We start from the raw sequence: 14,345 nt of genomic DNA, 5'->3' as shown, positions 1-14,345 counted from the left end.
AAGCCAATAATTCATTTCCTTGATGGTGGTTTATTATTTATTTTCTTGTTTTTTTCCTCCTCGTTTCTCAGAACAGTTCAGGTAGCTTATAGGAAACATACATATTACATAAACTATAGATTAAAAACAAAATTAGGACTAGAAAATATATACATTAAAATAAGAGGCCAGAAGGCTGGTGAGGTGGGACAGGAGAGGGCACTGATGACAAACAGAACCCAAGGGTCTGCAGGATTGTTATTTCCATGTGCAAGTTAAGTTCTGAGCTTTCTGATGGCCAGAGTGAAAAGAGACACACGTCAGTTGTATAGAAGAGAAAATCAAAGTGTTTTCCTAGTTCTTTTCCCTAAAAAGTTTCTCATTTGTGCGAGGGTCATCAAAATGATGTTGAAAGCAAAGCTGTTCTTCTTTTCTTTTGAGACAAGGTTTTGCTCTGTCACCCAGGCTGGAGTGCAGTGGCGTGATCTCAGCTCACTGCAACCTCTGCCTCCTGGGCTCAAGCGATCCTCCTCGTCAGCCTCCCTAGTAGCTGGGACTACAGGTGCATTCCACCACACCTGGCTAATTTTTTGTATTTTTTGTAGAGACAGAGTTTTTCCATGTTGCCCAGGTTGGTCTTGAACTCCCGTGCTCAAGGGATCCATCCACCTTGGCCTCCCAAAGTGCTGGGATTACAAGCTTGAGCCACTGAGCCCGGCCAGAACTTTTCTTCTGATGATCTCCATTCTCCTGTCCTTGAGCCATCTTGGCTGATGGGTTATCCAGATTTTTTCCCTGAGGTAGTTATAACTTCTGGATTTGCTTGAAAAATCTTAGATCCTCATTCTGATCTGCTGTAATTATGGGGTTCCCCTGATCAACCAAGAACTACATTTCTGATTCAACCTCTTAGAATTTCATGGTTTTGGAAGCTCTTAAAGGTCATCAAGCCCAACATCCCTATCCCACTCACCTTCTGATGTTTGAATATTCGCTGCAACAACTCCATCAAGTGGCTGTCTAGCTTTTTCTTGCATGCCTTCAGTGACAAGGAACTCACTATCTTCCAAGGCATCTAATTTCATATGTCCATGACGTTGTTTATCTTATTTCATTGACATCTGAATCCTGGTCATACCTATCGAAAGAGGCATTTCATCACCAAGGAAAGAAATCGAGTCAAATTGGCCAGCAGGAAGAAACTCTTTGGGAATCCTTAGCTTCATTAGAAGTAGACTTTTGTTCAAATGAAGTGTTAAAATTAAAGCAGTATATATCTGAGTGGGGCCAATTGGCATTAACTCATCTTAGCATATGGTGTGCTTCCTTTTATATGCATGTTTAGCAGCTAGTGGGTACCAAACCTCACACAGCTCTCAATTGCTAGCACTAATGAAGGATCTGTTTGCCTTTGGGGATAAAGATGGTATCACTGATTCACAGTTGTTTTTCCAGGAGTGAAGAACAGATTTTACTTCCTCATCCATAGTCTCTTGCCTGGCCCTTTCTCGTCCCTACTACCACTACCCTAATTCAGGCCTCATTGTTTCCTGCCAGGACGGTTCACCTGCCTCCAACTGGCCTCCTTGCCTTTGGTTCTGGCCCTGCCTGGTTCGAGATCACATTGCCAGAGGGATCTTCATAAGCACAGATTTGCTGTATCACTTCCAGCTTAAAATCCGTCAGTGACTCCTGTTAGTGCCAGTGTGGAATCCAAACTTCTTAGCATGTAAGAAAGGCAGGGCGGGATCACAGGGTCACTTGGGCCATGAAATGGTACAAAACTAACAGTCCTCATTAGGAACATTTGAGCCCTTAAAGACATGCAAATTCTTCTGGAACAATAGCTCACATTCATGTAACTACAAATTTCTTAGCTTATTCACCGAAAAAGTTAATTTAATCTCCACGTAGAAGAAAAAACAGAGCTCCTCTCAGTACTGCTATTACTAGTGCAACTATTACTAAAAACAATATCAGATACTTTTACAGCACCTAAGCACTTTATATGCAGTACTTTACTTTAATCTTCACAAGAAAGCGATGGCATTTGCACAACCCTGAGTGTGAGCACCTCCTTGAGTTTTGTACCCTGATGGCTCACTCGCTTCACCCTAGTCCCAGCCCTAGAAAGCCCTGGGTGTCAGTGCAACGTGGATCAGGCAGCTGGTGGGGAATCTTAGATGGACAGTCTGGTCTGAGCAGAGCTCCAGCCACGTGGCTGGCAGTAGGATCAGAAGGGCCAGCCCAGAGTTCTGCAGTCAGCAACAAGGAACCAGGAGGCCATCTCCGCTAGGGGCAGCATGGTGGAGAAGACTGCAGGGCTGGGATCAGAGTTCCCATCTGTGTATGCCACAGGTGGGGTCCATATGCAGTTTTCTGGGCCTCAGATTCTTACTCTGCACAATCAAGAGTATTAATGACCCTCTCTGCCTCCTTTCCAGGTTCAGTTTGATGGTGGCCGTGAAGGGGTCTGATGCTCAGTAACTTGAGGTGCCCCTGCAGCATGAGGTGGTGGAGAGGGTATCTGAGTGGGTATGGGATCCTGGGGTCAGGCCCATGTTCACTTGCTCAGGAGCTTGGAGCACAACTTCCCCTTTCTGGGAGAAGGCTTTATATCTCATTAAGATGGATGAAATCTCTCAGCTGGACAAAGGCAGCAGCACATTATGTTCAAAACGAAGAGACTTGGTGTGAGATGGATCCTGAACAGCTCACCTCCCACCATCCCAGCCAGAAGTAGCACGGTCTTCAAATTCCAGCCCATCTCTCTCTTCTTGATGAATACCTCTTCCAGCTCAGTTGCAATGAAATGTCTCCTTCTTCCATATAAACCCAGGGCTGTGCCCAAGCCTGCTTATCCCATTACCCACACTTCCCCCGAGTCTTAAAACATGTCACTTCCTCGAGACTCAGAAGCCCACCTTAGGAAGTATAAGATTCATGTTGATAACTAGCTAGGAGGCTCATTGAAAATATTTTGGGGTTTGCATGTTAGCTCTGTCAAATCAAGTAAAAAATCATTCTTATCTACCATAACCAGCAGTTATGCAAATCTGCCAATGGCACTAATTAAGTGACTTCTAAAAGCATTTATCATAAATAAGGAACAAAAACATTCAGGGGCTTATTTTATTCTCTCCAGCAGCCATAGCCCCATCTGATTAATGCCATATGGGGAGAGTCTATTCTGGAGGGCAGGCTGGAGTTTGGTTCATTGTTGGCAGATATTTCAGTTACGTGTTTGTGCAACACTGTATGCTTACCAGGTAGCAGCTTTGGTGGGATAGGCCACCTTCACACTTACCCATCATCACTTGAGATTTCAAGCCTCAATTTGACCCCATGTGGCAGGAAGAGTATATGCCATGTACAGAAAAACTTTACGTCTGTTACCGTTTATGATCTTCCCAACAGCTCTGTGATGTTCGTTATTATCCCTGCATTGCAGATAAAGAAACCTATACTTCTGTGCTATAAAATAGAGTTGACCAAAATTTTTGCAAAGCCAGAGAGTGAATATTTCTGGCTTTGCACCCTATCATGTAAGGTCTCCATCATGACTGTTCAACTCTGCCATTGTAGTACAAAATCAGAGATGTATGCTGAATAAATGAAAACGCATGGCTGTGTTCAAGTCAAGCTTTATTTATAAAAACAGGTGATGGGCCATAGCTTTCTGACCTCTACTATAAAGCACTGAAATTATTTGGGGGGGGCGGGGGGTGGTGAAGTACCTTTGGTAAATAGAAAGCCTTAATGAGTGGGTTTGCTATGGACTCAATAAATATTATTGAGCATCCACTCTGTGTCTGGCACTGTAAGGAATACACAGGTAAATCAAAGTGCTCATGGGGGTTGTAGAAATATCTATATGAATTCACATCACTATAATGTAAATAAAGCCCAAAGTGCTCAGGGCTATTAGAAGAGGCAGATGAGACCCAGAATTCAGAGCATCTGAGGCATCATGAAGCCTTCCTGGAGGAGATTATGTCTTAGCTGGGCTTTGAAGAACAATGAGGAATGAACAGGAAGCCTTGCACATGAGGCTGCGGGAGCCGTATTTATTGGAAGGTCAGTGTAATAGCATTTCTCCTCATTCTGCTTCACCAACCAGTAGAGGTCAGAGGCTTTTGCCAAGCAAAAGCCCATGTTGGACTGGTGTGGTTGTGAAAAGCTACTGAAGGCCTGAGCTTAGGACAAGGCCTGTGTAAAGAACAGATCCAAATTAGGTCATGCAAGAGCCAGCTGGAATGAGACAGGTGGTTATGGGTGGTAGAAAAAGAGAAATTGGGGCAAAAGATGTCCCACAATACTGAGACATAAGAAGTGGGTAGTCCCAAGACTGTTGCTGTGTGAAACCTTAGGTTGCAAGTCATAGTTCTGTGGCCACAATGCCCAGGCTTTGGTGCCTCAGGCCAGAAGGTTTTCCCCACACCAATTGCAATAACGATGATCTGACTTTGCAGGGTAGTGCGTGTGGTGCTTTGAGATCACAAGGCACCTTCACAACTATTATCTGTTAATCTTCACAACAAATCCTATGAGGTTAGTACTATCACTCCCATTTTACAGGTAGAGAAATTGAAGCTAAGAATAGTGTACTACTGTGCCAAAGAATTTGAAGCTAGGTCTGTGTGACCTCAAAGCCAGTGTTTTTCTCACTATTCAATACTGCCCATAGGATATGTGCCAGGGTTAAAGACAGAAGAATAAGAGAATAAGAAAATATAGGTTAAAACCCTAATCAGGAAGGGCCATGATAGTGGACTTAAGGCTCAAACTAATGCTGTGGGAAGGAGACAAATTCCCACCTGATTGGAAGCCCCGGGTTCCTACAGAATGTGCTTTTCTTCTTGCCCAGTTGGCTAAAGGGCTTGGGAGTGAGTCTGTTCCAGGCTATCTTCTTAAACTCCCAGAGCGTCTCCCTACCCATGTGGCTGACAGCTGGTGGGCTTGGGAATACTTCACGGCTCTTCCCCTTTGCCTCCAGCTTTTACTCTCAGCCTTGTCTCTGGCTTCTAGCTCTTCCCAGCCAGCCCCTTGAGAGTAACTATTTCTTTGGGCACTTTTTCAGGGTTCGACTCTCAGAGCATGCACAGCTAGCCTCAGTGTCTATCACAGAGGACCACATGCCCAGGCCTCATATTCACGGCCAGCCTCCAATGTCTATTTTTAACTTCATCTCCAATTGGGGTTATGCACACTGTCTCAGGGAGGCACTGCCAAGCCTGGGCGAAGACTCTCATCACACGACTGAAAATTGTGTCTCTTTATGGGACTAGAGCCCTGATGGTATAATTGATGAATTGATGCTTAAAAAAGTGGGGGTGGAGGGGCTTCTATGATTGTCTTTGAAGAGTAAACAGACATACAGTGCATTATGCATGTGATTTAAAAGCCATAATTTTAAAAAAGCAAATATTTAAGAGATACCACTGTTTATTTGGCCCTGTTTTTGATTTTTTTTCTCTTCTTATTTAAAATTCTAAAAGCATCAAACATGGAAATGTCCAGGATTTTCTTCATCTCTAAGAAGCCCTGCTGCCCCAGCATCCCAGGTTGCTGGGAACAGGGATGGGACAGAGAATTCTGCCACTTGTCTTCTGTCCAGATCTTGGTTTAACAGAACAGCTCTCTGCTCAGTGTCCCAAGTTAGAACCCCCTCTCCAGTCGGTGCTCTGCCCACACTGCCTCCGCCTTCGTCTGGTCTTCATCTTTCTCTTGGACTGTTATTTAAACATTCTGGAACGTGATCCTTCTGTTACCAGTTTCTTCCCAGCCACTCCATTTTCCACACTGCTCTTAGAGTGATCTCTATAAAAAGCAAATCTAATCATGCCCTTCCTGGCTGAAAACCCTCAGTGCCTTGATTTTACTCCTAGCTTGGTTCCAGTGGGGTCTTCTTGCTGTCATTGCCCAAGGTGACCTCTCTTGCACAGGAACACCCACAGGAGGCAGCACCTATCCAGTCCCAGAGAATAGAGGCTCCTAAGGCCAGTTCTCTCCCTGTGGGTGTTCCCCTCCTCCATGCTGTCCCATCAGCTGTCACCAGACCCATCAGACACAACAGACCCACCAGACACAACAGACAATGGTGCTGTTCTGGGAGGTTCTTTTCCAGATCTAGGAAGGGTCGTACAGCACCAAGATACAAAAGCTGGAGCATGTGCTCATTGTTATTTTATGCCACACAAGAAAAAGTCTTAGACCTAAGGAAAGTATTAGGCACCTGAAGAAGGTGTTTGCCTTTCTGCTGATGGTTCTTTTCTCTACTGAGTCCAGTTGCCCCAAACTATTTCCTCTTCAGTGTGGGCTCCTCACTTCACACCTTTGCCCAAGAGGCAGTTCTGCCCTTGCTCTCTCTCAGCTCTTGCAAACTCTAATGACCAGCTTTAGTGCTTCAGGCATCACAGGGCCCAGAGAGTGAGAGGTGAGGGTTGGCTGTCGTCCTCTGGGTGACTGTGAGTCTGCAGTACTAGTCAGATTACCTCCAGAGAGAGCTGGGATGATTTCTTTATATGATTACCTAAGAGGTGAGTACCCCTCACCAAGGCAAGCAGTGAGTTTTTTTGTCTTTTTTTTTTTTTTTTAAGAGTCAAAGTCTGGCTCTGTTGCCCAGGCTGGCGTGCCATGGTGTGATCACGGCTGTCTGTAGCTTCGAACTCCTGGGCTCAAGTGATCCTCCCACTTCAGCCTCCTGAGTAACTGGGACTACAGATAGGTGCCACCATGCCTGGGTAATTTTTTTAAAGAGATGGGGCCTTGCTATGTTGTCCAGGCTGGTCTTGAAACCTTGACCTCAAGGAATCCTCCCATCTCAGCCTTGTGAGTTGCTGGGATTGTAGGCGTGAGCCATTGCACTGGCTCTGGTCTGTTTTTAAAATGAGTCAGTCTCATCTCAAGTCCTATTGAGGATAGGGCTTTTCCTTCCATTAGCATATTTCGACTATGCCCCTTTGAGGAACCTCATGATTATGGCTGGTTTTTGCTAATAAGCCTGGCTTTGCTTGTAAAGGAAGGACAACATGGCTCAGATCTACACATAATAGAAAGGGGGAATAGAGGGGTTGCTGGTGTACCCAGCAATGCATCCTGAACTCCTGCCACAATGTACCTCTGGCCATGTGTGTGAGTTTCCTGAGGCTGCTGTAACAAATTACCACAAAGTTTCAGTGGCTTAAACAGAGGTTTATTCCCTTTCAGTTTTGGATGCCAGAATTTGAAATCAGGGTCAAGGGGCTATGTTCTCTGTGGAGGCTCTGGGAAAGAATCCTTCCTTGGCTCTTCCAGCGTCTGGTGGCTCCAGGCATTCCTTGGCGTGGCAGCATTGCAGCATCGCTCTAATCTCTGCTTCCTTCTTCATGGGGCCTTTCCTTTTGTGTGTCATTCCCTTCTCTTTTATCTAAAGTCTTCCTCTTTCTTTCTCTTATAGGGATACCTGTCATTGGATGTAGGGCCACTGGCATAGTCCTGGATGAGCTCATTTCAAGTTCCTTAACTTAATTACATCAACAAAGACCCTTTTCCAAAGTAAAGTCACATTCACATATTTCAGGTTTTGGGACATGGATATATCATTGGGGAGGGGGCTGGCATCAGTCAACCCACTATATCATTCCAAGACAAACCAAGTCCTTTGACAACTATGCCTTTGCATAGGTTCTCTTTGATGTCCTTCACTCTCTCCCCACCAGTCCACCATCCTCACATTTCCCTCACTTGGCAAAGTTATTTATCCTTAAAGCATGAGCTAAATGAGCTAAAAAAAAATCACCTTGTGCATAAGCCTTCCCTGACTCCTGGGGGTGCCATCCCGTGTTTCCTGCTCTAGGACCCTGCAGCGGTAATCATTTGCCTGGAAGGCAATGGCCAGCCAGAGTTTGGAAAGCAAAGCCTGTCAGATGAGTGCATAGTGCTGGGCAGGAGAGAGCCAGAGTCTGAGGGAGGGGGCCAAGGGCAGCTGAGGAATTCACTTGAAAGAGAGCCTTGACCCACTGTTCCTAAATCCAGTCAGTGGCTGCTCTGAAAGGGATTAAATGTTCCAGAAGAGGAGTTTGAAGGTTTAGAGGCCATGAGAAAATCTTCCTACCTTTTCTGAATCCCTCCTCTTTTTCATACAAACTCAGAAATTCCTTTGGGAGGAGTAAGGTCTTTCCCTTTCTGACAAAGGTAAGATGAGAGAGACAATTGTCCTCTATGTATATATTAATAGTTCCCATCAGTAGCTTCTCCAGTTGACTGTGAGGGAGGCAGAGGGCAGGAGGACTCTTAAAAGATGGGAGTGGCAAAGGAGTGGGCCACACACACGAAAGATGCCCAGAGTGATGCTCAATGATGGTCAGTCCTGCTTACCCTCAACTCTCAGGGCCAATAAGAAAGAGGCAACTTACTGCTGTAGAATGGACACTGAAAGAGGAAATGTGGGTCTCAAGACTGAGCTTCACTCTAACTTTCCATGACTTCACCTTCTCTGGTCTTTGCTTTCTTTTCTTTGTAAAATGAAATGGTAGATTAGATGAGCTGTAAGGACTCAGTGATTTTAAGAGTAGCTGTCATCAAAGATGACTTCGTTCTTTGGGGATTGACTAGAAAATCTGTACAAGCCTGTCTCACCATGTGAATTTACAATACCGCACCAGAGGAAATCACTACTGTCCACACATGTTTGGGAATCGCTGAAGAATTAACAAACTCTTGATGAATGCAAAGACACTGCCACATACTCTGTGAAAGGCACCTAGGATAGAGGGACAGTCCTGACTCTCAAAGGGCTTATGATCTAATGTAGGGGGCACACACCTTCAAGATTTACTGTAATGCAGGTTAGACATCGATGTATGCTATAATAGAGCGAGGGCAGGGGAATATGGGAGTCCTTCAGGGAGGAGGTGACACTGTAGCTGGGTCTTAAGGGTGAGTAGGAAGCAGGCAGGCAGCAAGGGAGGAAAGCAAGGAGAGACATTCAGGCGGCAGGAAGAGTCTTAATAGAATGCTTGGAGATTTAAAGTGAATGACATCATATGAGTGATGCTAGGAAATGAGCCCAGATAGGCGACTGGGGCTTGACTCAGTTACAATGTTTCATTGCTGTTAACCAAAATGAGTTCAAAGTTGCTTAAACATGAAGAGCATTTAGGAGGTTAGGAAACTGGAAAGGGTAGAGGTAGGGAAAGATTTCAGAATTGGTTTATTTCAGTGGCCTAGTAATCTCCTTGAAGTTTTCTTTCAGTCTTTCTCCTCTGCCTTCAGCAGGGTCAGCATCATTTTAGGCTGGTGGCCCTCCAGCCCAAAGCTGGTTGTAACTAATCCCTCCCAGGGCTATGTTCTTTCTTGGGGACAAGGCTTCAATCCAGGAACAGAGAGTGAAGATGACTTTCGGGAGCTCTCTTGGAAGATTAAGGTAGTTTCTTTCACAGAAATTTCTCATGTAAATGCCTCTTTTATTTTACTAACCAGAGCTAGGTCATATGCTTGTCCCTAAACCTATCATTGTGGCCAGAAGTGGGGAGTATGCTCATTGCCCTGGGCCATGTTGCAAGTACTATCCATGGGTTGAGACTAGAGTCAGCTTCCTCCAAAGCCAGTGGACTGCTAGGCTAACAAAAATCAAGATAGTTACCAAAAGAAGGGGAAAGAGCTCTTGGGAGGTGAGATAGATAATGTAGATTGCAGACTCTTTCTCAGTAAGGGTTCCTCATGTGGCCAAGGACCTACCAACAGGAGGATAAAATGAGCAAAGGGAGATGCCGACTGTGTGGACAGATTGGTCTTCTGACAGAGATGGTGGTGGAGGCATCTGCTTCTTCTGGGGCAACCATGTGGGATTTCTAGGTCCAATTAAGCTGGAACCGTTCCATGGAATGGATGAGGTTTCTCCTGGCAGTGTGGCTCCTGTTTGTGTTGTTTCTGGTCATGGTAACATCCAAGCATGGCTCTTGGGCCCTCCCTTAGGGAGATCTTGTGAGATTCCTAATATCTTTTCATAAGCCCAGTTCTGCTTTCATAAATTAAAGTGAATTCTGTTTTTTGTTTTGTTTTGTTTTGCAATTAAGAACCCTGAAAACTACTGATTTCCTTAATAGTATTAGATGTGGAAAGTCACTTTTATGGTAAGGAATGTGGTTTTTATCTTTTTATATGATGGAGAACCATTGATGGGTTTTAAATGGGAAAGTGGTTGTGATGGGAATCTTATTCCCTTTTTCAACCCACCATTCTACTGACACTGCTCCTGTCAATATCACCAGCGGTTTCATTTGCCAAACTCACTGGTCACTTCTTTTCCCCCTACCCCCCACTCCTTTTTGCTTGAGACAGTCTCACTCTGTTGGCCCAGGCTGGAGTGCAGTGGTGTGATCTCACCTCACTGAAACCTCTTCCTCCTGAGTTCAAGCGATTCTTCCGCCTCAGTCTCCCAAGTAGCTGGGATGACAGGTGCCTACAACCACGCCTGGTTAATTTTTTGTATTTTTAGTAGAGATGGGGTTTCATCATATTGGCCAGGCTTGTCTCAAACTCCTGATCTCAGGTGATCTGCCTGCCCTGGCCTCCCAAAGTGCTGGGATTACAGGCATGAGCCACCGTGCCCAGCCTTCTTCCCCTTTTTAAACTCAACTCTTTAGCAACGTTTGGCACAGTTAATATCTCCCTTGTTGATCACTTTCTTCACCTGGTTCATTAGGTGGCACTGCCCTTATTTTCCTCCCACCTCACCGGCAACTCTTTCCTGTTATCCTTTGCTGGTTCCTCCTCCACTCTAATCATCTGGATCCTGGAATGCCCCATGACTCTTTTCTTCCCCTTTTGCCCTTTCCCCTAAGTGGTCCAGGGCTTTAAGTAGTGGGTATATAAACCAATGACTCATAAATAAGTATCTTTAGCTCAAAACTTCTGTTTACCTCTGGAGTTGTGTATCCAGTCACCTGCTTGACATTTTCCCTTGAGTGTCTAATGGCTACTTTATGTGGGACATATTCAAAGCAAAACACTTGTTTTTCTCCCAACTTAGTTCCCCTCACTGCTCCCACTCAAAATGGTACTACCCACCACTCAGTTGCTGAAGCTAAAACTCAGAGTCATCCTTGATTGTTTTTTCCTAACTCCCAGTCTTAATCCATGTTGTGTTGCTATAAAGAAATACCTGAGGCTGGGTAATTTATAAAGAAAAATGGTTTATTTGGCTCATGATGTCTGGAAAAGTTCAAGATTGGGCATCTGCATCTGGCGAGGGCCACAGGCTGCTTCCACTCCTGGCAGAAGGGGAAGGGAAGCTGGTGTGAGAGATCACATGGTGAGAGAGGAAGCAAGGGAAATGGGGAGGCGCCAGGCTCTTTGTAACAAGCAGCTCTCCTGGAAACTAATACAGAGAGAGCTCACTCCCTCCCGCAAAGGGAGGGCATTCATCTGTTCATGAGGGATCTGCCTCCATGACCCGAGCACCTCCCACTAGGCACCCCCACCAACACTGCCACACTGGGGATTACATTTCAACGTAAGATTCAGAGGGGACAGACATCCAAACTGTAGCACTCCCCATGCCAACTCGTTCAGAACATGCTGCCAGCTCTACCTCCCAAATATGTCTGGAGTCTACCTATTTATTTCCTTTTCTACCACAGCCACTCCAGCTTTTGCTTCAATCTCCAGCCCCAACTCCTACCACTCTCCCTCTGCTCACCATCTTTCAGCCTCCTGGGACTTCTTTATGTTCTTCCAACTGCCAAGTTTATTTCTATCTTCTGAATCTTCTCTTTTCTTTGTCTAGAATGCTTAGTTCTTGGCACAGCCAATTTCCTTCTTGTCTCAGGCCTTGGTTCAAATGACACTTACCATGTAAGCTATCACCCCACTCAAGTCACTTTCTACCCCACAACCACTACTACCCTCTTTTGGTTTCTTTCTGTTACAATTACTTATCAGAAATAAGATATGTTGGTTTGTTTAACATCTTCTCCTCCCTCTAGATAAAAGCAGGTATTTCCTGCCTTGATTACTGTGGCACTTGCCACAGCAATCAAGAAAAGTACCTGGAAAAGTACCCAGCACCTAATAGTAACTGAATATATATGTGTAGAATGAATAAGTGTATGCTTTGGGAAAATTGCTTTGATGGCAATTTAGGAAACAGACTAGGAGAGAAGAATTCTATGCTTTCAAATGTTCTCTCTGACTAGAGTTGCAGTATAGATTGGCCTCTTGGAACACCAGACCTTGTAGGATGTTTGATGAGGTGAAGAATCCAGGATGAGCATAGCTGAGAAGTGACTTAGGAGATTTTTTTCACTGATACCAACAGGTGGGCTTCTTTTCCTGTGCTGATGCCAGAGTAGTTAAAATGTGGCCAAAATAGAGTTCTGTATTTGGATTGCTGACACTACAAGTGTGTGAAAGTGGAATTAGATACTTTTCCTGTGGTGGCTCCTGACCCTCAAATCATGGACAATCACAGAGGGGACAGTCATGTTCTGAGAGCACCATCTGGCAAGGAAGGAGTGAGGGGAATTAGCCAGTGTTGGGGTGGCTTTGCTTCCCTAGTCAGAGGTCCTTTTGGCTGGCCTAGTGGTGGATAATGTGGGGACAATTCTTTTCTTTCCATCTCTTCATTATTGCACAAAAGAGCACACAGATCTTCACAGAAAAGAGGTTAGCCAGGCTCCGTAACTCGAGGATTCTTCTTTCTCTCTTTATCCCAGAGCCCGAGTTCTCTTCCATGCTTTTCAAAGCATGGAAATAGAAAGGATGCTTAGAAAAGTAGATAAAAAGAAAACAGAATAGAAATCTCCTGCACCTGCCAACTTCTTCCCCTGAGTTCTATGTTATGCAGAATTTTTATTCAGTGAAAATATTTTTTTTTTCAGGACAAATAAACATCCACTCCAGTGGCAATTATCCCCTCTCCTTTTTTAGACTTTACGGAGTGATTTGAATTCTTAGGGTTTTCTTTCATTGTGCAGACTGAGAAATTGTAAACCTCACAATCGAGAGAGCTGCATGATCCGAACGAGTAGGCAAACCAGGCTCGGGGAGCTGGCACGGTCCCCACGGATCCACGTGGAAGCTGAGCCTTGCCAGTCTGCATGGACATTCCCCTCTCTAAAAGCCATAAGACATTCTGCTTGGAAGCACTACATAGTAGAAAAATGTGGATATAGAAGTCAGGAAACCTGGAATGTGGTTCTCACTAGCTAGGTGAACTTGGGCAATCTATTTAGGTTTTCTGAGCCAAGCTTTTTCTATCATAAAATGGGGGTAATAATACATCCCTCCCCTAAGTACAATGTTGTTTTGAGAATTAAGTGTACTTGTGAAAGTGCTTAGGAAACTGTGAAGACCTCTGGATATCTTAGTCACTATTTTTTAGTTTGTCAAATCAAACTCTTAATCTAGAATGGATAAATCTATTCACAGTGAATGTTCACTCATTAGACAGACTGATGGATAATGACTTGGGATTCTGGATTCAGACCAGGAGACAGAAATAAACCCACTCTTGATGATGTTTTAGAGCCTCTCTAATTTAATATGACTTAATCTGCACATTTATAGTATAGAACTTGAGTATTAGATAGGGCTAAAAATGTAGCTGTTGGGATTTAGTGAGAAAAGCTGGTTTTATCCACTCAACATTTACTCAATACGTTTTCTGGGTGCAGGTAGTGTTTATATCAGCACTTGGCACTTGTTAAGTACTCAGTAAATTCCTACTACTACTACTACTATTATTATTATTGCTATTTTCCATGCCTTGGGCTGGGCTTTGGGGTTGTAAATATGCAAACCATGGTCTCTCTCCTCTAGGAGCTCTGAGTCTAGTCAAGGAGGTAGATTTGTAAGCTGACAACAGAAAAATGAAACAAGTGGGGACAGTCAGAAACTGTCTTGAGTTAGCCTGTTTGAGTTTTACTCTGCTATTTATTAGCTAGGTGACTTAACCTTTCAAGCTTCATTTCCCTCATGTGTAAAATGGAAGAATAATTACATTGATTCTAAGGAATTACTTGATGAGTGAAATTAGATAATAATTCAGTCATTTATTTATCAAATACTCATTGAATGTTGTTGTTGGCAGACACAGATAATACATTTCCCAGAGATGTCCATGTCGTAATCCTCAGAATTTGTGGTGATGTTAGGTTACACGACAAAGGGGAATTAAGGTTGTTGATGGAATTAAGGCTGCTAATCAGCTGGCCTTAAAGTAGGGAGATTATCCTGGATTATCTGAGTGGGCCCAATGTCATCACAAAAGTCTTTAAAAGTGAAAGAGGGAAGCAGGAGAAGTCAGAGGTAGAGAGAGTTTTGAAGATGCTGTGCTGCTAGCGTTGAAGATGGAGAAACAATGCCATGAACCAAAGAATGCA

At 44.3% G+C, this 14,345-nt stretch overlaps 1 long non-coding RNA gene across 1 annotated transcript; it reads left to right on the top strand.

The window, feature by feature from the left end:
* Positions 1 to 641: 641 nt before the first annotated feature.
* LOC107987012 (uncharacterized) lies at positions 642 to 3,611 on the top strand. Its single transcript, XR_001746549.1, has 2 exons — positions 642 to 1,708; positions 2,424 to 3,611. It is a non-coding gene; the product is annotated as an uncharacterized LOC107987012 (long non-coding RNA).
* Positions 3,612 to 14,345: the final 10,734 nt, after the last annotated feature.

Source organism: Homo sapiens, chromosome 9 (assembly GCF_000001405.40).
Source record: "Homo sapiens chromosome 9, GRCh38.p14 Primary Assembly".
NCBI lineage: Eukaryota > Metazoa > Chordata > Mammalia > Primates > Hominidae > Homo > Homo sapiens.
Note: the sequence above shows the minus strand (reverse complement) of the source record. Positions and strands in the feature narration are given on the sequence as shown.